General features: G+C 35.8%; 1 protein-coding gene and 1 long non-coding RNA gene across 12 annotated transcripts in view; one reads left to right on the top strand and one right to left on the bottom strand.

Annotated features, from left to right (window-relative positions):
* Nucleotides 1-24,526, bottom strand: part of BBOX1 (gamma-butyrobetaine hydroxylase 1) — an 86,995-nt gene that overhangs the window by 3,838 nt on the left and 58,631 nt on the right. For all 9 annotated transcript variants that reach the window (NM_003986.3, NM_001376260.1, XM_047427692.1 and 6 more), the window contains 2 exons: nucleotides 8,415-8,520; nucleotides 4,127-4,323 (listed from right to left, as the gene is read on the bottom strand). In NM_003986.3, the coding sequence (NP_003977.1) occupies nucleotides 4,127-4,323; nucleotides 8,415-8,520 (303 nt within the window). The remainder of the gene's footprint in view (nucleotides 1-4,126; nucleotides 4,324-8,414; nucleotides 8,521-24,526) is intronic.
* BBOX1-AS1 (BBOX1 antisense RNA 1) overlaps nucleotides 1-24,526 on the top strand; it is a 172,928-nt gene that overhangs the window by 96,142 nt on the left and 52,260 nt on the right. The gene's annotated exons all lie outside the window — the stretch shown is intronic.

Here is a 24,526-nt window from a genome sequence, read left to right as displayed (position 1 = left end):
TAAAACTACCTATTGAACCCACACTGGGAAAGAAGTAAAAGGAAGGAACAGGCTTTCAAAAAGGCTCTTAGACTCTTAAAACATAGATTTGCATGTATTAATAACAATACAAATGTGACTCACTAGGTAATGGAGTACCCTACCTGCTTCCACATGCTTTCACATAAATCAAGAATTCTGAGCCTTTTGGATACAGCTTTATGTACAAAGAATCAGATGGAAGGGAAGTCAGTAGAAAAGACTGTGTACCTCTAGGATTTAGTGGTACAGAGACTACACGACCTTTCAATTACCCCCTTAGAGTTCATGCTGCTGGTTTCAGACCTCTGTCACAGTGTCTGAGGCCATTTGCCTTTTGATATTAACTGCAAGATTCTAGCCCTACTGCTTCTGACCCACTTTCCTCTTTTTTTTTCTTGTTATGTGTTCTGTACATATAACATTATCCTCTGTGTCATCCGCCAAGGGATGTCATGACTTTGGAACTTCTGGGGGGGTCGTCTGTTTCAGTCACCCTCAAGATCTGCTTTACTTTTCTTCCACTATTACCATAGCTCCTTGATTTGAATGGTTATGCTAATTATGAGCTAACTATTCTAGAGTCCTTGGGTATATCCTCATGTATCAGTGAAATGAACTTTGTGATTAATAAATGTAATGAAAATCAGAATTGGATGCCTCATGGTATACTAGATTAGGCTTTCATTTTTAAGAGTTCACCTATATAGAAAAGTAATCAACTTTTTGTGTGTGTTATAGTGTAACACAGTCCCTGCTTTCTTTTACCTACTGTTTATCTGAGAAAACAAGACACAAATGTATTATTTAGCATTCTCAGCAATAATAGGGGAATGGAAAGCAAATTTTGTTGTAAGATATAGAGGGGACATTATTCTGAGGATTGAAGAATGTTAGAGGAGATGGGTAGCTGGTACCTTGAAGACCAACCTAAAATGAAAAATTGAAGGTTAGCAAGAAATTTGATGCCTTATAACAGAACAGCAGGGTCTAATGTAAGTTTGCATGCTGAGGAAAGGTAAAAAGCCACAAAAGATGGGAGTAACTGGCTATACATTCGCTATACATAAAGGACAAATTAATTAAACTTAAACCAACAACATAGTGGCAGTGAACCAGCAAAAGCAAAACATTATCAATGATGCCAACAACAACAAAAAAAAAACCAAAGAAAGGACTTTTAAAATGATCTTCCACAGTTTGTGTTGTGAATACTCCTCATTAGTGACAGCATTATGTCTCATTGATAGATACAATGTTTTATGGAACTTGTTGTATTTGTTGTGGGAATACTACTACAGTGTTGTCTACCATGTCATAATTTATGAGGATCTGCAGGAAAAATTTATTTCGGACTTCGAAAGCATCTTGTCTTATAACTGATTATAGTCTCTGTTTGCTTTGGTTTCTAGAAATTCAGACCTGAAATAGAAATCTCCCCCCAGTAAGTGTGTTGGACTTCATGCATATTATAACTAGCTAAAATGTATTCTGCATTTTCTAAACTAGGCACAATAGTAGGGGCTTCCATATATTAACTCTGCAATTCCTACTTCAATCATGTGTGGCAGTATTTTTTGTTTTCGTTTTTTTAACTGGAAAATATACTGTGGATCAGCAAGGGTAAATAATCACATGAGAGATTACACAGCTGGCAAGTAAAAGACTTGAATTTACGTGATTGAATGTGTAGTTGATAGGATAGCTGAGTCTCACCGTCATTAATTTTGCTTGTTTCTTTATTGATTTATTTTTCTTTGTACTGAATTATAAGTAATTCAGTCAGCAGCATAAAAGACATTTTTGTACTAGGACATAAAAATTTAAGGATTTAACCACAAAGAAAATTAAATTAACCCAAACACTTAGGAGATGGAGGCCCTCTGTTAACTGAGAACGCTCTGTTTCATTTCCTGTTGTTGAAAATATACTTTTAAGTGAATTAATGTTAACCACTTGATATTTATTCTCTAGGGGCTATTCCTGAGACCTCACACATGGCCAAATTTTGAAATTTTACTACAGAAAATATCAAAGCCAAGTCATGAGCCACATGGTGGACATTCAGTTAATCTTATCTATAGCTATGTTTCTTGCCTCTGTTCACTAGCCTTGCAGAATCTGTAATCGTATTGTGTCTTAACAAAATTTTGATTTGTCATGAATTTTTAAGTTAATATTTGACTAGTTAAAACTGTCACATTATAACTAAGGGTCTCAAGTTATTTCCTTTTCACCTTGATGAGTGAATTCTTAGAAAACGTCTCAGGTTTATTCTGGACTAGAATTTCATTCTTGACGTCTATCTTTTTCTCAGACACTTCCTCCAATCTTTCACGAAAACAATCTGTTTATACATGCAAAATGTAACCAAAAACTGATCCTTCTCCACACCACCACTGCTGTCACTCTAGCCACTCATGTTCAAGGCACCACCATTGCTAGCCTGGAGTCATGCAGTAGCTTCCTAGCTGGTCTTCCCGCTACTATCCTTGCTCTTTCTAGCAGTCAGGGTGACCCATTTAAAATATAACTAAATTTACATAAATATCAAAGTCTTTCCTTTGATCAGGATCTTGCAGCAACTTCTTACTTCACTCAGAGTAAATGTTACTGTTATAATTTGCTAACAAGACTCTACAGGAACTTGTCCCTACCTGACTTCCTCCCCTAATACTTGCATCCTTCACTCTGTTCCAGTCACACTGGTCTCCTTGATGTTCCTTGAACACTCCAGACATGTCCTTAGGACCCTTTTAGAACTTTTGGTCTAGCAGTTTCGGGAAACTGCTTCTCTTCTGAAAACTCCATCACTCGTTTAAGTGTTTGCTCAAATCTCAGTAAAGCTTTCCCTCACCACGCTCTTTAATAATGCAATTTCCGTCCTTGCTAAGCCCTACAGATTCCCCTTATCTTGCTATGCTCTTCCTTTTTTTCTTAAGCATTTAATAATTTTTAACTTTTATTATAATTTACTCATCTGTTTAAAAATCTTTAAAATTTCCCTTCCCCCATTAGAGTATAAGCTATATGAGGGGAGAGATCTTTGTTTTGTCCACTGATGTATTCCAAGTACCAAGAAAAGTGGCTGGCCTCAATAAATATTTGTTGAATGAATAAATGAATGTACTGGGGATTTAATTATTTTCTAAATGAGTTTATTTTCATACCATTTGGCTGTTTCTCTTAATAGAAAAATTTAAACTCAATTCTAAAATTCTAAAATTATACCCCCCTACCAAAATTAATCGAGGTATAATTAAATAAACTGTTGTAGAAACAAAATGTAAGTTAATTTGCAAATAAAAAGATGAATTTGTGGCCTTTGTAGGTACTTGGAAAAATTATAATAAAATAATATTAAATAAAAAGAAAGGGAGAATACAAAATGTTCTGTGTAGGTAATATATGATCTTTGTTGGCTTAGTATCTCTTTGGGGAGCCTCCCTGTTTCATTCTCAGTCCGTGTGATTCAGATGAGGCTGACCCTGCTCCAGAGTTGAACATGTGATCCAGGCATGGACAATCAGAATTCTCTAACCCACTGGCCATGATGATTGATTCAGGGATAGACTTGGACAGAAATTAGGGATTGAGTCATCTAGCTTTATTGGGAAGTAAAAGCATTGTTTGTGGTGTGATTACTAGCTGTAAGGAAAATGAAATCTTGGAGCTTCTGCTGATCATCTTTGAAAAATAAAGCTAACATAGAAGATGGCAAAGCTAAGAAGAAAAAAGAGACCAATATCACATGACATTGTTTAACTCTTGGGATCAACCTATTTTGAGTTATATTCTTTCACTTCTGGCCAAAAGCCTTCTAACTAGTATAATCACATTGATTATAGCTATGTAGAACTTATATTCTAAAAATGAAGTATACGTGAAATCTTAGTTACTTTTCCTCTAATACTGATTAGGGATAAATTTTATGTAATTTAATAAAAACTTTTATGGTGAAAATACTATCACTCTAAAATTGGGTGAAATGTTAATAAAAATAAAGCTCTGAAGTTCGTTGAAGTTTTGTGCTGTTTAAACTTTAGATTAGTGGATCTTTTGTTGTCAATTCTTTTATTGCTATGGGAAATTTATAAATAGTACTTACTCTATAATTTTATGTTTTGATTGTACAGAAAAATCACAGTAATCCACTCCAATGTCTGTAAAGTCCACAAAGGTAGAGGACAAAATCTGGAATGCCTGAGGATTATTTTTCTTTAGTTTTTGGCACACATTAAACCCATCTACAATTTCTGAATCACCCCCTGTGACTGTTTGCTTTATGCAGTGAAGAAGCTGAACCTATAAAAAGAAAATATGCATTATTAAATAAATATTAAATTACATTTTAATTATTAGAATTAATCTTCAATAAAATAAATAATAAAATAAAATAATATACATGCACCATTTTTTGATACTGTGTTAAAGATTCAAAAAGCTATGAATGAACCAAAGCCAATAAACTTTTTTTTTTGTCTTTCTTATGTCATCAGAAAAGAGTTGGGAAGAAAAAAGTTGCTTATAATCAATACTGTATAGTTCAAACATGTTACAGTTGAAGACATAGATGCAGGCATGATAATGCTCATTAGCAAACAAAAAGAACAGCTTGTAAGAGCTGCATAGATGGAGCACTTGATGTTGGAGTAGGCAGGGAAGGATTTCAAGGGGAAGAGGCGGGTAAGTTAGGCAAAGGGGAATGGATGAGATTTGGGTTATGCAGAATAGAACGAGAAAGCAAATCAGGTGACAGAAATAATGATGTGCAAAAATGCACAGTTCACTGGGTAATAAAAAGTCTGGCTACAGCAGAGGGCCATAAATAGAAAGAGTGAATCAGGTTGGAAGGGCAATTGGTGAGGCCTCATGATGGAGAGTCTTAAATATCAGATGAAGGGCTTTTGTATTTGTGCATAGAGGGAATTCACTGAAGGCTTTTGAATATGAAAGTAATGTAGTCGGAACTGAGCTGCAAAGTATTAGGCCAGTGGTGTTACATAGGATTATGTTTTTTTTTTTTTTTGAGGAAGGAACTGGTCAGAGTAGCAAAACAATAGCATAACTTTGTTTTTGGAGGATCACAGTGTTCTTTAAATCCTTTTAGATTTTGCCATCATGAACTGACAGAATATTTCAAGTGCTAATTTTTAAAAAGATCATTTTTTAATGTTATTTACATATGTCAAGGCCCCTTGATACTTTCTTTTGTACAGTTACACTTTTAATACAATCTTCAAATAGAAAAAAGATGATGGAGCCTGACAATACTTTTATTGCTAGGTTAAAACGCAAATACATGCCTGTCATGTATAAAACCCAATTTTACTTCATATGAGTCATTCAGAACCAAAAATATTTTCCTTCTGAATGTTACTTTATGCAGCATGTGACTTCTGCAAAAACAGTGAGTGAAGCAACATCTCTGTTTCATTAAAGATGTGGTGCCTTATCTCTGCCCCACATAATCCAAATCGATCAAACTGAACTCTCAACAGGTAACTCATTTTTCAGATTATTTCATCTATACAGAAAAATATATTGGTTTGTTCTGTTTGTTATAGAAAATCTCAAACCTTGGCACAACTCACCTGGAATAATTCAAAATGGAAGTTTGAACAACAGTACAAACAGGTTGCCTACATTTTATTATTCTAGTAGAATCTAGACATTTTAGGAATCATCTGCTATTTTAAAATCTCCTATCAAGTCACTTAGTTTGGATGTTTCATTTGCTGGAGACAGGTACAGGTTTGTTGCACTTCTTTGCCTCTTTATAGTGTATCTATGATGTCTCTATTACATGCAATGTGCGTGTAAATATTGAGATACAAAGTATTGAAATACAAAGAACTTTTTTCTTCCCAAGAGTCAATTCTTGTCTTTAAGAAGTTTGTAAAGTACGATAAAATCTATAAATATTCTATTTTACTACATAAATTATAATAGTTAGAAATTCCAGCTCAGGATCAGTGTGGTGTGACAGAAAACTAGATGGAGGCCTGGGTTCAAGTCCAAGTTCCTCCTTAATCAAATGTCACCCTATAAAAATATTGAATCTCGTGTTTCATTTTCTCATCTGACATAAAAAGACATGATCAATCTTGTCTACCTTAAAGGAATGTCAAGAAGAGTCAGATAAAATAATGAAAGCAAAACTGCTTTGAAGTAGTATAATGTGCTATGACTATGAAAAAGTCAAGCATTCTATTATACTTCAGGAACATTTATGAAGTCATTTGGTCACTTTTCCTTAGGCTTCAAATTTTAACCCAGAAACAAAACTTAAATTCTTAAAAGACAGAAGATAATTTAAAAATTCAAATAAAACTTTTAGTTTTCTAGTCTCATTCTTTAAGCCTTATTCCATCCAACTCCCTCAAGCTATGTTTGGAAGAAGAGCTGAGCTGATTAATTTGGCTCTTAACTCTAGGGTTTTAGAAAAATCTGAGCCACATTTAGAATAAAATCACACTGGGTGTCTCCTGCCCCCAACCCTTACCCAAAAGTGTGTCTACAGGGGTCATTTTACTGCCACTTAGTTCAAAGAAATCATGTGGTATTTTACAATCAACAAAATAATTTATAACATGTAAAGTTAAATACTAGACTAGCGTAGCTAATACTGGCAAGAAGAATGGGTAACAATAAGGGCACAGAGAAAACATGTACAGTGAAGATAATGAAAAAAAAATTGGGCTAATTGTGATTTTGGCCCATTCTCCTTTGTTAACTTAAGAATTGCCCAAATTTTCATTTGCCTTTGAAGATATAGGTTTCTATGTGGTTATTTCACATAGTCTAATTTAGCTGTAAAAATAGGGATGGCATATCTTTTAAAAGGTAGTTTCCTAACCACTTATTTTTGGTGTAATAAAATGATGATTTTGTAAAAATGTAGCTCATTTAGTAAAATGAAACTTTTGTAAAAATGTAGAGAAAGAATGTCCACCCAGAGATTCTCCTGGGGATTTGTGGCTTCACACTGAGCATTTCCCTCCTTGACAAGGAATCTGATAGATGGGATGTTGGATGGTTTCCAAAAATAGCCACTGTTATTATGTTCCTTGTAGTCACACAGTTTATAATGCATTTTTGCAGCTTCCTCCATAAGCGGTCTATTTCCTCACCTCCTGAATGTGGGCTAGATTTATTACTTCCTTAGACCAATATAACATTGCAGAGGTGACTAGCCCAGGCCTTGAGAAGTTGTGTAGCTGTCTGAAAATTCTTCTAGTTGCCATATGCATTAAACTTGGGCTAGCCTACTGGTGGTGAATAGACCGAGTGGAGCAGAAACCAGCCATCTCAGTGAAAGTCAATCTGTCCCAAGCCAACTTAGCAACCAATTGCAGGTATATGACTGAAGACAGGAGCTGCCTAGCTGAATACAGCCCATATTGAAAAAACAAGGGCTAAGTAAATGGATGTTTTCTTAAGCCATCAAGTTAGGGAGTGAGTTATTATTTTTTTTTTTTGTTATACTTTAAGTTCTGGGATACATGTGCAGAATGTGCAGGTTTGTTACATATATATACACGTGCCATGGTGGTTTGCTGCATCTATCAACCCGTGATCTACATCAGGTATTTCTTCTAATGCTATCCCTCCCCTATCCTCCCAACCCCCCCAACAGGCCCCAGTGTGTGATGTTCCTCTCTCTGTGTCCATGTGTTCTCATTGTTCAACTCCCACTTATAGGCGAGAACATGCGGTGTTTGATTTTCTGTTCCTGTGTTAGTTTGCTGAGAATGATGGTTTCCATCTTCATCCATGTCCCTGCAAAAGACATGAACTCATCCTTTCTTATGGCTGCATAGTATTCTATGGCGTATATCTGCCACGTTTTCTTTATCCAGTCTGTCATTGATGGGCATTTGGATTGGTTCCAAATCTTTGCTATTGTGAACAGTGCTGCAGTAAACATACATGTGCATGTGTCTTTATAGTAGAATGAGTTTTAATGCAGCAGTAGTTAATGGATATGAATGATGCCCATGTGACTTTGAGGGAAACCCTACATTTTGTTTACTGATTTCATTTTCTCTCTTAACTTTCTTAGAAATATATGTGCAAAAAGACCTTAAGATTTACTCCTACCTTAAAATCTGTCTTGGCAAAGCAAAAAATGCTAATAGTAATTTCTAGGAAGAACAAAGAAATGTTTTTGTTGTTGTTGTTGTTGTTTTAAATGAATGAAATTATCCTCTCCTTTAGGAATGTGAAGATATTTAGGATTTAGGTACAGAGATTTTGTGAGCTTGGATTGTGTTTGGAGAAAAAATTTATAAAAGACAAACTACCTGGTGAAATGTGTAATCTTCTAGACTCAAAATACGAAAAGATACTGGTCATCATCATGCTTTGTGGAAAATATGTTGAAGCTCACTTACCCCAGGTGGATGATGGAGGGCTGGATAATCAGTGTGAAAGCTTAGCTTCCCAGTTGTGTAAGCCACATTGTTTGCATCGATTTTGTCTTGCACTTGCCAAGTATGTCTGTAAAATGCAAGAAACACATGTTTAAACAGGTTGTCACTAAGCCAGAGGAAATGCATTAGAATGAATTTGATATGTGGGGAGAAATGGAAACTTTTCATTTTTTGAAATAATTACCATAATGACTATGAGTGAGACAAGGAATCTGACCTTTCTCTGCCTAAAGTCACTATTTCAGAATTAACATCTCCTCATTTTTCCTCTCCTCTCAACAAAAGAGTACATCAGTCTATCCTACAGTTTATAAAGAAGTATATATGGAATTGTAGGTTATCTTTTTACTGGGTTAATGCATTTTAAAAAGTGATTTATTGAGGTGAAGTTCACATAACAGAAAATGAATCACTTTAAAGTGAACAATTCAGTGGCATTTAGTAAATTCGCACTGTTGGCAACCACCACCTCTACATAGCTAGTTTCAAAACGTTTATATTACTCCAGATCAAAACCTCTTATTTTAGTAAGCAGTTTCTTTCCATTCTACCCTTCTCCAAGACCTTGGCAATCACTAATTTGCTTTCTGTCTCTGTGGATTTACCTATTTTAGATATTTACCATAAATGGAATTATATAGTAAGCTCATGCTTTTAATGTTATATCTAAGAATCCACTGCCCAATCCAAAGCCATGAAGATTTACCTCTATGTTTTCTTCTAAGAGTTTTATGGCTTTAACTCTTATATTTAGATAATTTGTTCATTTTGAATTAATTTTTGCATATGATATGAGTTGTGGGTCCAATTTAATTCTTTGCATGGGGGTATTCAGTTGCCTCAGAACAATTTGTTAAAGAGGTTGTTCTTTCTCTATTGAATGATATTGGCATGCTTGTTGATAATTGATTGGCCATAGATGTGTGGGTTTATTTCTGGACTCTCAAAATTCTATTCCATTGATCTATTTGTCTATCCTTATGCCAATATCACACTACTTAGATTACTGTAGATTCGTAGTTAAATTTCAAAATCAGGAAGTATGAGTCTTTTAATTTCAGTCTTCTTTTTAAATATTGTTTTGCCCACTTGGAGGCCATCACAATTTCATATAAATTTGATACTGGCTTTTCCATTTCTAAAACAAGAAAATGATACTGAAATATTGGTAGGGATTGTAGACTGCTTTGGGGAGTATTGACATCTTAACAATTTTATGCCTTCCAATCCACGAATACAGGATGCCATTCTATTTCTTTAGGTTTTCTTTAACTTCTGTCAGCAATGTTTTATAGTATAAAGTACTATAAAAGTCTTTTACCCCTGTGATTAAATTTATTCCTAAGTATTTTATTCTTCTGGATGCTGTTGTAAATGGATCTGTTGATTTCCTTTTCAGATTGTTCATTGCTACTGTTTATAAAGACAACCAATTTTTGTGTTTGATCTTGCACCCTGCAACTTGCTAAATTCATTCATTAGCTTTAGTAGCTTTTTTTGGGTGGATTTTATGGGATTTATTATATGTAAGATCATACCATCTGTGAATAGAGATAGATTTACTTTTTTATTTCTCACTTGGATGCCTTTATTTCTATTGTCTAATCGCTCTGGCTGGAAATATTGGTGCGATGTTGAATCTCAATGGTGAAAGCTAGCATTTTTGTCTTGTTTCTGCTCTTAGGGAGAAACTTGATTTTTTTTTTTTTTACTTTTAGGTTCAGGGGTACATGTGCAAGTTTGTTATATAGGTAAATTGCATGTCACAGGGGTTTATGTACAGAGTATTTTTGTCACTCAGGTAATATATATAGTAGCCAGTAGGTGATTTTCTTGATCCTCACCGTCTTCCCAACCTCCACCCTCACAAAGGCCCAGGTGTCTAGTGTTCCCTTCTTTGTGCCCATGTGTACTCAATGTTTAGCTCTCACTTGTAAGTGAAAACATGCTGTATTGGGTTTTCTGTTCCTGTGTTAGTTTGCTTAGGATAATGGCATCTGGCTCCATCCATGGTGCTACAAAGGACATAATCTTGTTGTTTCATATAGCTGTATAGTATTCCATGGTGTATATGTACCATATTTTCTTTATTCATTATATCACTGATGGACATTTAGGTTGATTCTATGTCTTTGCTATTGAGAATAGTGTTGTGATGAACATATGCGTGCATACATGTTCTTTATAGTAGAACAATTTATATTCCTTTGGGTATACACTCAATAGTGGCATTGCTGGGTCAAATGATAATGTTTTTAAGGTCTTTGAGAAATTGCCAAACTGCTTTCCACAATGGCTGGACTGATTTACATTCCCACCAGCAGTGTATAAGTGCTCCCTTGTCTCCACAACCTCACCAGCATCTGTTATTTTTTAACTTTTTATAATAGCCATTCTGACTGGTATGAGATAGTATTTCATTGTGGTTTTGATTTGCATTTTTCTAATGATTAGTGGTGTTAAGCACTTTTTCATATGCTTGTTGGCTGTGTATACGTCTTCTTTTGAAAAGTGTCTGTTCATGTTTTTTGCCCACTTATTAATGGGGTTGTTTGTTTTTTGCTTGTAAATTTATGTTCCTTATAGATTCTGGATATTAGACTTTGGTCAGATATATACTTTGCAAATATTTTATTCCATTCTATATGTTGTCTGTTCACTTTGTTGTTAGTTTCTTTTGCTGTGTAGAAGCTCTTTAGTTGAATTAGGTCCTATTTGTCAATTTTTGTTTTTGTTGCAATTGTTTTTGTTATAGTCATCATGAAATCATTGCCAGGTCCTATGTCTAGAATGGTATTTCCTAGGTTATATTCCAAAGTTTGTATAGTTTTAGGTTTTACGTTTAAGTCTTTAATTCATCTTGAGTTGAATTTTGTATGTGGTTTAAGGAAGGTATCCCATTTCAATCTTCTTCTTATGGCTATCCAGTTATCCCAGAACCATTTATTGAATAAGGAGTCCTTTCCCCATTTCTTGTTTTTGTCCACTTTGTTGAAAATCAGAGGGTTGTAGGTGTGTGGCATTATTTCTGGGGTCCCTATTCTGTTCCATTTGTGTATTTATCTGAGAAACTCAATTTTTAAATTACACTCTTGAAACTATTGCTCAGGTCAATAAATAAAACTTTAGGCACCTACGTGTGCCCTGTCACAGTCACAGACACTTCTGTCTTCTCCAAAATAACTATGACTGTGACTTCTATAGCTATCATTTCCTTGCTTTTCTTTACAATTTTATCAACCAAATGTTCATCCAAGGACACTGTGTTTAAACTTGCTCATTAATAACAACTGCTATATGCTTTAAGTCTATTAATCTTCAAGTTTTTCCTTCAAGCTGTGCTCCTTACAATTGTTGAAGAACTAGGGAATTTGACCTATAGAGTTTCCCACAGTCTGGACTTCATTGAGTACATACTCATGGTGCAGTTTCTGGGAAACTGGCAGCAAAATGCAGAGGCTTAGACAGTGTCTATTCTTTCTCTTTGGCAAAGCCACAGATGGCATTATGTTCTTGTATTGCCAGACACATAACGCCTGGCTGTCTTTCTTTTTTGATGTTTGTACATGTTCATGTTCAATGGCTATATCCATTAATTCGTCAAGGATTTCAAACAATGAAATACCAAACTGATACTCTTTTTAAAAAGATTTATCACTCAGAATACTTTTAAAGGGAGCCACTTCCCCTCATCCACTATTTGATTACTCAGTATAACAGCTTACAGAGGGATGATGAGATAAACATTTGATTCTTTCTCTTTATTTACCATTTGTAATATAACAAATTTGTTTCCTATCATTCCAAATTGAATAGTTTAGAAAATATTATTTATGAAAAAGTATTAAACTAGATAAAGGTGGTATTTGCACAAAATTGTGAATGTACTAAATGACACACAACAGAATATAGTAGATAAAGGTGGTATTTGCACAAAATTGTGAATGTACTAAATGACACACAACAGAATATAGTAAATAAAACTAATTACACTTTAAAATGGTAATAAAAAATAATTTCAGCTTTTAATTTTTGGGGGTACATGTGCAGACTTGTTAGATGGATATATTGCATGATCCTGAGGTTTGGGGTAAGATTGATCCCATCCCCAGATACTGAGCATAGTACCCAATGGGTAATTTTTCAGCCCTTTCCCGTTCCCTCCTTCCCCACTCTAGTAGTTCCTAGTGTCTATTTTTGCCATCTTTATGTCCATGAGTACCCAATGTTTAGCTCCCACTTGTGAGAACATGTAGTATTTGGTTTTCTGTTCAGGTATTAATTTGCTGACAATAATGGCCTCCAGCTGCATCCATGTTGCTGCAAAGGCTGTGATTTTGTTCTTTTATATGGTTGTGTAGTATTCCATGGTGTCTATGTACCACAAAATGATTAATTTTATTGTTATGTAAATTTTACCTAAATTAAAAATACCTTAGCTTAAAAGTTAAAAAAAAGTGAATTAAAAAAAGAACTAAGGTTACTTGCAACTCTGTAGCAAGAAAATAAACCATTATTCAGACTTTGTAAGCTATTACCCTTGGAAGATCCAGACAATGGGTAATTGAAAGGAGGCCATGTTTAAAAATAAACCAAATATGGCTTGAAAAATGTTCACTATATATACATGCCATTTGATTGCTGTTATAATGTCTATTAATATATATTCATATACATCAAATTATCTTTGAATAAATAAACACTGAACACCTATTTCAGTCATTGATTTAGCATCAGAGATACAGCAGGGAACAAAAAGACAAAATAGTAATTATTAAATTTAATAGAGATAGGTTCTACAAAGAAAATGAAGCAAGGTAAAGAGATAAGGAATGGGGTCAGAGAAGTATTATTACAGAGATGATGCTGTGGGAAGTGCTCTATGAATAGGTGGCATTTTCCCCACAGAAACCCAAACAAAATAAGGGAAGGAGAAATGTGAATTTCTGGGAGATGTATTTTAGGCAGAACCCAAAGTGAAAAGGTTTTGAGTTCGGAGTATGTTTAGTGTATTTGTGGAAGAACAAGGGCAGAACAAGGTCAGCATGGTTGGGACAGAGCCACCAGGGGATCAAGAGTGGGAAATGCATCAGATGCACAGACAGAAGCCAGTTTCTGAAGGGCTTTGGGGACTAGGATGAAGATTTGAGATTTTGCTTTACATGTGATGGGAAGCCACTGAAGTTTTCCATTATGTAAATTATTCATTGGAATTGTAGTTTCAAAGAATTGCTCTAGCCACTGAGTAAGGGGTAGATGGTACTGGGAAAAAGGTAGGAGGAGGGAGAGATGATGGTAACCAATTCTCTCCTAAACATGAGAATCATGATGGTTCTCTCCTAACTATGGCTACATGCATAGGAGAGAATGATTGGATTTGAACTTGAAAGGTAGAGTTATCAGGATTCTCTGATAAATTGGATGTAGGATATGAGAGAAATGGAGTCCAGAATGATGCCAAGGTTTTCAGGTTCAGAAACCAGGTGGGGGAGGTCCTATTTATTAAGATTCACTATATAAAAATTTATTATCTGGTGGAGGAAGAAGTTTGCTTCACCTAATTTAAAAAACTTTTAAATAAGTGCTTTTTATAAAATCTCCATTCACATATGGACAAATGAGCACACAAAATAAGACCCTTGGTCTGGATATTTTAGCTTCCTAGAAAGTCACTCTAGTCTGGTATTCTACCCTGCCTCTGGTATTCCCCCATACACTATGTACTACAACCAGGAAAACCTCCCTAGTGTTTCATGTTCATTTTGCCATTTCTCTGTCAGAAGCTCTTACTGATTCTTCAGTCCCAGAAGGATAGAATTCAGCGCTGCTGATCTAGAATTCAAAGACCCAATGCAATTTTCTAACCTTGCCAACTATTGCCATATTTGAGTCATTTATTCTAATCATGTTAATTTTAGCACTACACACTTTCCTGCCTTTTTTTCTGGTTTCTTTTTTCTGTCAGTTTTTTCTGTTCTTTTCCCCATCTCTGTACCCATTAATGAAAATCTAGCTCAGGTTCCAACTATTTCATAATCTCAAATCTAGAAAAAGTCTTGGTCTTTAGGTTCAAACGGTACTGGCTTCAAAGCCTTGGTTTCTAATTCATAACTATATAATCTTGGACAATCTGTCTATTATTTCTAAGCCTCAATTTATATATTTGGAAAATAGAACAATAATGTATTTCAAAAACTTGTAACAAATAAGAAAGGTCTATGTCTGACACACAGGAGATGCCCCATAGGACTTTTCCTTCCTCTCATTCTCCTGATTACCCAATATTTACTCCTACAGTCAGAACTCTCATAAGCATGTTTTATTCATCTCATTTATTAGATTTGAATATGTTAGGTGTTTTATGAAGATGGTTATAATTTTTAAAGAGCTATTGTAAGTCTAAGCTCATTTAAATACACAAATACAGAATTCCGCTTCCTCTTCTGGACTGTAAACTCTCTTAGAGTACAACAAATACTTTTGATCTCCTACCATCAACGAAACCAGTGCCAATTCTAAAGCAGGGAACCAATAAATTTTGACTGAATGAGTGTAAACAGGGAAGGGGTGACTTTTATGAGCTTTCATTTTCATACGGTATACGGTAAAGGGTATTAGTAGGGTGGCAGTGGCAGGAGGAGAGTGGAAATACAATCTATAATCTCTTCTCACATGTGGGGATATTTTTCTTAATGAGAAAAAGAGTTTCTCACCTGTTCCCTGGGATTGAGGATAAAATTGGCTATTTTGCTCTATTTTTCTCATTTAAAATTAGGGTGGAACACTTGATATATCTTTCACTAAGGGTCAAGCAGCCATCCATATGTGGCCATGATGTGGAAACAGGCTGAGTGAAAAAAGATGGAGTATTATAGTCTGCTGCAACTCATTTCAAATATGTGTCAGACAATCCATTATATTGCAGTGAGAGTTGCCAAGAAATACATGTTCTCTATGAAGTTCATGTCACTCCATAGACCATACAAAATATGGATCCAGACGATTGTCAACACTGGCATTTGAAAAATAATCAACATATGAGAAGAGATTTAAGGAGATCAAAAAAGTAATTTCATCAAGGTGCAGAATGCATAATATCTTCTAAGAAAATGCTGCGGTTTGCACGATCAATAGGAAATGACTATTTGAATTATTTTTCAAGAGTGGTGATGGTTTTGCATTGATTCACCTACATTCTTTTTCCTGGTTCTTTCTATGATCAAGGGTAAACTGACAGAATTTTACTCTAGCCAAAAACTGGTTGAGATGCAAGGTGTAAGCATTAGCCAGAGAACAGATCTTTTCTTTGACATTCACTGGCCTCTACAGGGATGGGGGTCTGTGACTTGGCTTCATCAGAGCAGTTCTCTGGCCCTCTGAGCTAACTGGCAGGGAATAATAAAACATTTATTAGCCCTAGAGTGTCTTAGGCACAGTATGGGATGTGTAGCCTAAAAGTCTATCTTCACATATTATGATAAATCCCATGAAAGGAGCTCACCAATTCCAATCATAAAACATTCTCCTAATGGTCATAGCACAAGTCTGGAAAAATCTTAGAAATGTCATCTGCTTTACCTTTCTACCTTGTCATAGAAATGAATCATGCCAAGAAAGCTGCTACTTATTGTTGAGGACACTAAGTTCTTACTTATGCATCCCAAATCCAACTCTCCAAGAAAACACAGCAGAAATAAAATGCAAACATATTTGCAGCCATATAACCCTGGACTTGCCTGATCTTGCAGCTAAGCAGGATTAGGCCTGGTTAGTACTTGGATGGGAGAAACAGGTGCAAATGTGATTCATTGGTCATGAAGGAACTTTTTTAAAAGCCTAGTGGTGAGGCCTTGGTGAGATGAAGGTGTACTTACATGCACCCCTCATTAGAGACAGATTCTAATGCTATTCCAAGTAAGGCAACAACTCAAGCAGATTACTGAGAATGGCTGTGACTGAAGTAGAGGTATGGGACCAGATTATTTTAAAACTGAAGAGGCAAGCTCAACATAATATCTTAATCCAATGGTATAGACTTGTTTACTGTTGTGCTGGGGTGAGTGTCTGAAACTCTGCAAATTATCCTGCTTTTATCATAGATGCTGTTTTAAACAAATATAAGTATTTCCACTGAGCCATTTGTGTCATTCTCAACATTTCTTCTTTATTAGTCTTGCTAGCAGTCTATCAATTTTGTTAATCTTTTAAAAAAACCAGCTCCTGGATTCATTGATTTTTTGAACGGGTTTTTTGTGTCTCTATCTCTTTCAGTTCTGCTCTGATCTTAGTTACTTCTTGCCTTCTGCTAGCTTTTGAATGTGTTTGCTCTTGGTTCTCTAGTTCTTTTAATTGTGATGTTAGGGTGTCAATTTTAGATCTTTCCTGCTTTCTCTTGTGGGCATTTAGTGCTATAAATTTCCCTCTACACACTGCTTTAAATGTGTCACAGAGATTCTAGTATGTTGTGTCTTTGTTCTCGTTGGTTTCAAAGAACATCTTTATTTCTGCCTTCATTTCACTATGTACCCAGTAGTCATTCAGGAGCAGGTTGTTCAGTTTCCATGTAGTTGAGTGGTTTTGAGTGAGTTTCTTAATCCTGAATTCTAGTTTGATTGTACTGTGGTCTGAGAGACAGTTTGTTATAATTTCTGTTCTTTTATATTTGCTGAGGGGTGCTTTACTTCCAACCATGTGGTTAATTTTGGAGTAAGTGCGATGTGGTGCTGAGAAGAATGTATATTCTGTTGATTTGGGGGTGGAGAGTTCTGTAGATGTCTATTAGGTCCCCTTGGTGCAGAGCTGAGTTCAATTCCTGGATATCCTTGTTAACTTTCTGTCTCATTGATCTGTCTAATGTTGACAGTGGGGTGTTAAAGTCTCCCATTATTATTGTGTGGGAGACTAAGTCTCTTTGTAGGTCTCTAAGGACTTGCTTTATGAATCTGGGTGCTCCTGTATTGGGTACATATATATTTAGGATAGTTAGTTCTTGTTCAATTGATCCCTTTACCATTATGTAATGGGCTTCTTTGTCTCTTTTGATCTTTGCTGTTTTAAAGTCTGTTTTATCAGAGACTAGGATTGCAACCCCTACCTTTTTTTTGTTTTCCATTTGCTGGTAGATCTTCCTCCATCCCTTTATTTTGAGCCTATTTGTGTCTCTGCACATGAGATGGGTCTCCTGAATACAGCATGCTGATGGATCTTGACTCTATCCAATTTGCCAGTCTGTGCCTTTTAATTGGAGCATTTAGCCCATTTACATTTAAGGTTAGTATTGTTATGTGTGAATTTGATCCTGTCATTATGATGTTAGCTGGTTATTTTGCTTGTTAGTTGATGCAGTTTCTTCCTAACATCGATGGTCTTTACAATTGTGCATGTTTTTGCAGTGGCTGGTACCGGTTGTTCCTTTCCATGTTTAGTGCTTCCTTCAGGAGCTCTTTTAGGGCAGGCCTGGTGGTGACAAAATCTCTCAGCATTTGCTTGTCTGTAAATTATTTTATTTCTCCTTCACTTATGAAGCTTAGTTTGGCTAGATATGAAATTCTGGGTTGAAAATTCTTTTCTTTAAGAATGTTGAATATTTGCCCCCACTCTCTTCTGGCTTGTAGAGTTTCTGCCGAGAGACCCACTCTTAGTCTGATGGGCTTCCCTTTGTGGGTAACCCGACCTTTCTCTCTGGCTACCCTTAACATTTTTTCCTTCATTTCAACTTTGGTGAATCTGACAGTTATGTGTCTTGGAGCTGCTGTTCTCGAGGAGTATCTTTGTGGTGTTCTCTATATTTCCTGAATTTGAATGTTGGCCTGCCTTGCTAGATTGGGGAAGTTCTCCTGGATGATATCCTGCAGTGTTTTCCAACTTGTTTCCATTCTCCCCGTCACTTTCAGGTACCCCAATCAGAAGTAGATTTGGTCTTTTCACATAGTCCCATACTTCTTGGAGGCTTTGATAGTTTCTTTTTACTCTTTTTTCTCTAAACTTCTCTTCTCACTTCATTTCATTTATTTGATCTTCAATTACTGATACCCTTTCTTCCAGTTGATCGAATTTGCAACTGAAGCTTGTGCATTCGTCACGTAGTTCTCGTGCCATGGTTTTCAGCTCCATCAGGTCATTTAAGGATTTCCCTACAGTGGTTATTCTAGTTAGCCATTTGTCTAATCTTTTTTCAAGGTTTTTAGCTTCTTTGCGATGGGTTCGAACTTCCTCCTTTATTTAGCTCGGAGAAGTTTGATCGTCTGAAGCCATCTTCTCTCAATTCATCAGTCATTCTCCATCCAGCTTTGTTCCGTTGCTGGTGAGGAGCTGTGTTCCTTTGGAGGGGAAGAGGTGCTCTGATTTTTAGAATTTTCAGCTTTTCTGCTCTGTTTTCTCCTCATCTTTGTGGTTTGATCTACCTTTGGTCTTTGATGATGGTGACGTACAGATGGGGTTTTGGTGTGGATGTCCTTTCTGTTTGTTAGTTTTCCTTCTAACAGTCAGGACTCTCAGCTGCAGGTCTGTTGGAGTTTGCTGGAGGTCCACTCCAGACCCTGTTTTCCTAGGTATCAGCAGCAGAGGCTGCAGAACAGTGAATATTGCTGAACAGCAAATGTTGCTGCCTGATTCTTCCTCTGGAAGCTTTGTCTCAGAGGGGTACCAGGCTGTGTGAGGTGTCAGTCTGCCCCTAATGGGCGGTGTCTCCCAGTTAGGCTACTCAGGGGTCAGGGACCCACTTGAGGAGGCAGTCTGTCCGTTCTCAGATCTCAAACTCCATGCTGGGAGAACCACTACTCTCTTCAAAGCTGTCAGACAGGGACATTTAAGTCTGCAGAAGTTTCTGCTGCCTTTTGTTCTCATGCCATTTTTTTAAGGTGAAAATTAGTACCCCAAACACAAACTAGAGAAACGAAGATAACCTTTCCGATATCTAGAATAGCTCTTACTCAATCCATTAAACTAATACGAAAATCTCCACAAGACCTAAAGATATAAAGTAAAGAGAGAGGTTTAAATGATAGTGGTGAAATTATTTAAAAGAATCTCTCTGAATTCTCCCTATACAACATCTAGAGTGAAAATTCAAGAATTCAATGACAACATCTAAACAAAAATTCAGTGATAAGATATTCCCATGAACCAGGAAATAGGAGGGGATAGAGACAAACCTTTCAAAGCCAGAAGACCTATATGATATTGGCAACTGTGTAGGAGAAAGCAGAGAGAAGCAACTGGGTACATGATGGATCTAAAACATTCCCAAATCACTAACAGGTGTTTACTGGACAGTGCAGTGGGGCAATGTGAGAATGGCGGTTAAACTTCGGAGGGGATTTCTACATTCCAATATAGCTGAGTACATAAGGTCCATGATAAGGGATCTGAATAGTCTGGAATTCATGAATTCTAGAAACAAACCAGATAAATCTCCCTTCCATGACCTTCCTTCTGAGAAGAGTGCATATTGAGTAGTATAGGAAAAATGTAGACAAAGAAAAAAACAAGGTCCTGATAAAGTGAAGGAGACGAACTAGAAGGTCTTAGAAAGCTGTTAGCCAGTTTTGAAACATAGCTTAAAACCATGAATTTAAAAAGGTTTCTGAATCATGTCTCCTTTTAATAGTTAAGGAAAACAAGTTTAACGTAAAATTAGCAACAACAACAACAAAAACAACAACAACAAAATCAAGGTTTAAACTCAAAATTATTTTAAGAGAAAAACCCAGGATAAGTAGAAAAATAGCATACCTACAGACAGGCAGTACATGTCAGAAAGACAGGCCACCCCCAATAAAAAAGATAAAATATTATTTTTTCTACCTTCTGTTTTTTTTTATAACCACTTCTAATGAATCCAAAAGTCTTCATCAAAATGGTCCAATATGTAAAAGAATAACCTACATCAGAATTAGAAACTCAAAAATGGACTGATGTATTAAGAAAAGAAAAAAATTTAAAAACTCCTTAAACAAAGAATAAATTAGAAGGAATGCAAGATCAAATAAACGTAACTAGGAGATAAGAGGGAGAAGAATTTAAAAGAAATCAATAGAAACGATTTGAGAGAAAGTAACAAGAGGACCGGCAAAGAAGACTTAAGATATACTTAACAGGAGTCCTCAAAAGAAGAAGCCCAAAGCAAAGGAACAGAATAGATACTAAAAAATATGATTCCAGAAACATTTTCTGAAAAAAATTTAAAGCTGTTCCCTAAAACAAATCATATCCTCCCAGAAAAATCTGTCCCAGAACAATCAATATCAAGACATAGTCTATGAAATTACTAGACTTTAAACAACAACAACACAAATTCAAAATCCAGGTAAAAACATCAAATTACTTTTTTTTGTTGAGATGGAGTCTCACACTGTTGCCCGGGCTGGAGTGCAGTGGCATGATCACTGCAACCTCCGCCTCGTGGGTTCAAGAGATTCTCCTGCCTCGGCCTCCCAAGTAGCTGGAATTATAGGCACCCACCATCAGGCTCAGCTATTTTTTTGTATTTTTAGTAGAGACAGGTTTTCACTATGTTGGCCAGGCTAGTCTCAAACTCCTGACCTCGTGATCCACCTGCCTCAGCCTCCCAAAGTGCTGGGATTACAGGCGTGAGCCACCATGCCTGGCCATCAAATTATTTTTAAGGAAAAGAAAATCATATTGCCAGTAAAACTATAAGTGACATATTAAAGATGCTGTGACCCAATAATTTATATTTAGTCAAGCCAATTTTCAAGTATAAAGGCCTTAAAACTGCTGTCAACATGCAAGAATTCAGAGAATACTGTTCCTATGAGGCCTTCCTTAGGAATTTACGAGAGAATGGACTTCAGAAAACCAAAATGAATAGATACATTGAGCTAAGTTTGGTGCTGAGCAGTAAATTTATGTTTACGTGAGTTAAATTGTAGGGGAGGAAAAAAAGATATTGAAAAACTGAAAAGTAGAAGAATCAAACTGCAGTAGTAAGGATGCTTGTTGATGATAATACTCTAAACCAGGAAAGAAAGGAAGTGAACACCATAAAACTTAGGAAAGCCATTACACTTGGGGAAAAAGGCAAGGTTTATGCTTGGTTGGGATATGTCAATGGGTTTTGGGGTGGCTGGCAACGTTCCATTTTTTGACCTGGCTGGTGTTTAAGGGTGTTTGCCTTATGATAGTTCATTAAGCTATACATTTATTTTATGCGACTTTCTGTATCTGTATTATATTTTACCACAGGAAACCTATTTTAACAAACACAAACCTCACTTTTCTCCCCAAATGTAACAGCTTTCCTAAATTTTATGGTATTCACTTCCTTTCTTTCCTGGTTTAGAGTATTATCAACCACATGCATCCTTAGCACTGTACTTTGCTTTTTCTATTTTTTAGCTGTTCAATATCCTTTTTTTCCTCCCCTACAATTTAATTGACATAAACATAAATTTACTGCTCAGCACCAAGCTTATGTCAACGTATGTATTCATTTTGGTTGTCTGAAGTCCATTCTTAGTAACAGAGAATAGAACAGTGGTTACAAGGGATGGGAGTAGGAGAAAAGGGGAGATACTTGTCAAAATGGTAGAAACATTTGGTTATTATATGAATAAGTACTGGAGACCTAAAGAACAGCATGGTGACAATAGTTGATAATAATGTATCATATACTTGAAATTTCCTAACAAAGTAGATGTCAGGTCTTTTTGCCACAAAATATAAAGATAACTATGTGAAAGAATGGATATGTTAATAAGCTTGATTGTGGCAATCAAAATGTCATGTTGTACACTGTAAATATATACAATTTTTGTCTCTTGTACCTCAATAAAACTGCAAAAATAATTTAAAAATAAAATAAAAAAAGAAATCTTTGTTGTACATTTATTTTTAAAGGTTAATAATACTGCCATTAATAAAAATGAAGTCAGGTAGTGATAGAAGGATGAAAACTACCTGTAAAAACATAAAGAAAAAGTTATAGCAATTTGCTCCAAAGGAAGCCCCAAAGGCTTCATTATAAAAAACAAATAATGTAGTACATTGCAAAAATGTGAAATAATTAATGAGAATTCCACATTAAATATATTTAGTAGGGTTCTTTTTGAGTTGGAGGCAGTCAAATTTTGCTTAATGCATTTTATTAGAACAAGAATTGGGTATTAGTTTTGATTTTTTAATGTGAAATATTGAATAAAATGTTTTCTGATTCTGTATTAATTGCCATTTTCCCTTTATGTAAATGGTTGGTGATAATTTTAACTTAGGAGAAAGCAATGAATATTCTGGTGCTGTCATTCTACTTAATTTGATAAATTTCTATATAATGCTGTCTAATTATCTCCTTGCATCTGAGCAATTAACAGTTATTATGGCATTGGAAATTAGGAGGTAAATGTTAGATAACAATGAACCACCATAGTAGCATGGTATAAAGGAAAGACTGCAGGCTGTTGAGTCAAGCAAACCTGGGTTTGTAGCCTGATTCTTCTGCCTCATTTTTTTGGGGGATAATGGGTTAATGATTCTTCTCAGAATTGTGAAGATTCAAAATAATGAGTGTAAACTGCTGAGCTCAATACTTAGTACATAAAAGGGGCTTAATAAAAAATTATTTCTACCATCCCAATAACAGCCACCTGTCCTGGCTGCACAGAGTACAAGCAAGGAAGGAAGGTTGTATGTGTGTGTGCTGGGGGTGGGGTGGGGTGTCAGAGGACCTGTTGAAAAGCAATTGCCTTAATTGGTTATCTCATACATTTCCTCAAGTGATTTCTAAAAGAGCATGAGACACAGAAATTATTTTTCCTTTCATTCATGAGATGACTTCATACTCAAGTGGTTTTGTTGGCAGCAGTATTAATTACTATGAAACTTAATATTACAAAGGGAACCCTGGAGACTGGCTCTTGGCTGATAACATAAGCTGAGGTTCACAATGGCTCAAAGAACATAGCTTGTTACTCTGCTCAAGAAACCCTAATACTTACTAGAATACACATTTTAAAGAGTTTTTTTGTCCCTCTACCCAAGCATTATAATTAGCACATTAAGTTATTAAGGAGTCCCAGTGTAAATTTTTAAAAAGTAGAATGGGATTACAATTAAATTTAGAACTCAGGCAATTTTTCTTTGTCTTCTTCTCAAGTTTGAATTATTTCTAGGTTGATTTTTCATAACCCAGAAGACATTTTTATTCAAGAAGGGCTGGGTGGTTTTCTCAAGCAATTTCCTAATTAGAAACATCAACAAATGGGTAAACTTGTTTTTTCTTTCTCTAATCCCCATACTTCACAACTGTTTTCTGGTAACAAGTATTTCAAACAAGTAGCTGTTTCAAAGTCAGATTTGGAGGCTGTATTCATGGTAGGAGCAATTTCTTAGGGGTGAGATGCCGAGAAATAGTAATATTTTTCACTTGTACATCCTTGAATCCAATCTAATGTGTGAAATGCTGCTGGGCTGGCTTACAAGACAACTTTCAGAAATGCAAACAGGAGTCTAGTGGATACTGGAAAGCTATATATTATAGTTGTACTTCCCAGAGGCCATTTCAGTGTTGTGAATCCTTAACTGGTCTGGCTGGTGGATTAGATCAACAACTCACTAGACACATTTCTATTTGACCTTATTTTATTTATCCAATGAAGCCTGCCTGCAAGGAACTCATGAAGATATAACACTGGGCAGTAGTAGTAGCATTCTACATTTTTCAAGCAAACTTTCACCCAAGGACCTCAAAGGACATAGCAGGTATTAAAACACCCCTGCAGAAAGAGTGAGGCAAGTCCGCAGTAGAGGAGGATCAGAGAGATCTGGGAAATCACATGAAAAGCTCAGATCGACTTCTCGCTTACAAACAGCCCATGGTGAAGCCATGATTAGACTGCTTCCCTGTTGATCCTATGAGCAGCTGTCAAGGACGTAATCCAGTACAGATGCTGGGGGGCACTGGGTCCCCAATTCTTCCTAAACGTTTTGGGCGTAAAGTTTCCAAAGTATTTATTTATATTTTCTACTATAAACTTGTGGCCTTATAAGTTTTATTCAACAGTTATATAGCTTCCATGCAGTGCTATACAAGATAAAAGTTGACTACCACCAAGATC

This window comes from Homo sapiens, chromosome 11, assembly GCF_000001405.40.
Source record: "Homo sapiens chromosome 11, GRCh38.p14 Primary Assembly".
NCBI classification, from domain to species: domain Eukaryota; kingdom Metazoa; phylum Chordata; class Mammalia; order Primates; family Hominidae; genus Homo; species Homo sapiens.
The sequence above is the reverse complement of the archived record's forward strand: the minus strand, read 5'-3'. Positions and strand labels throughout refer to the sequence as shown.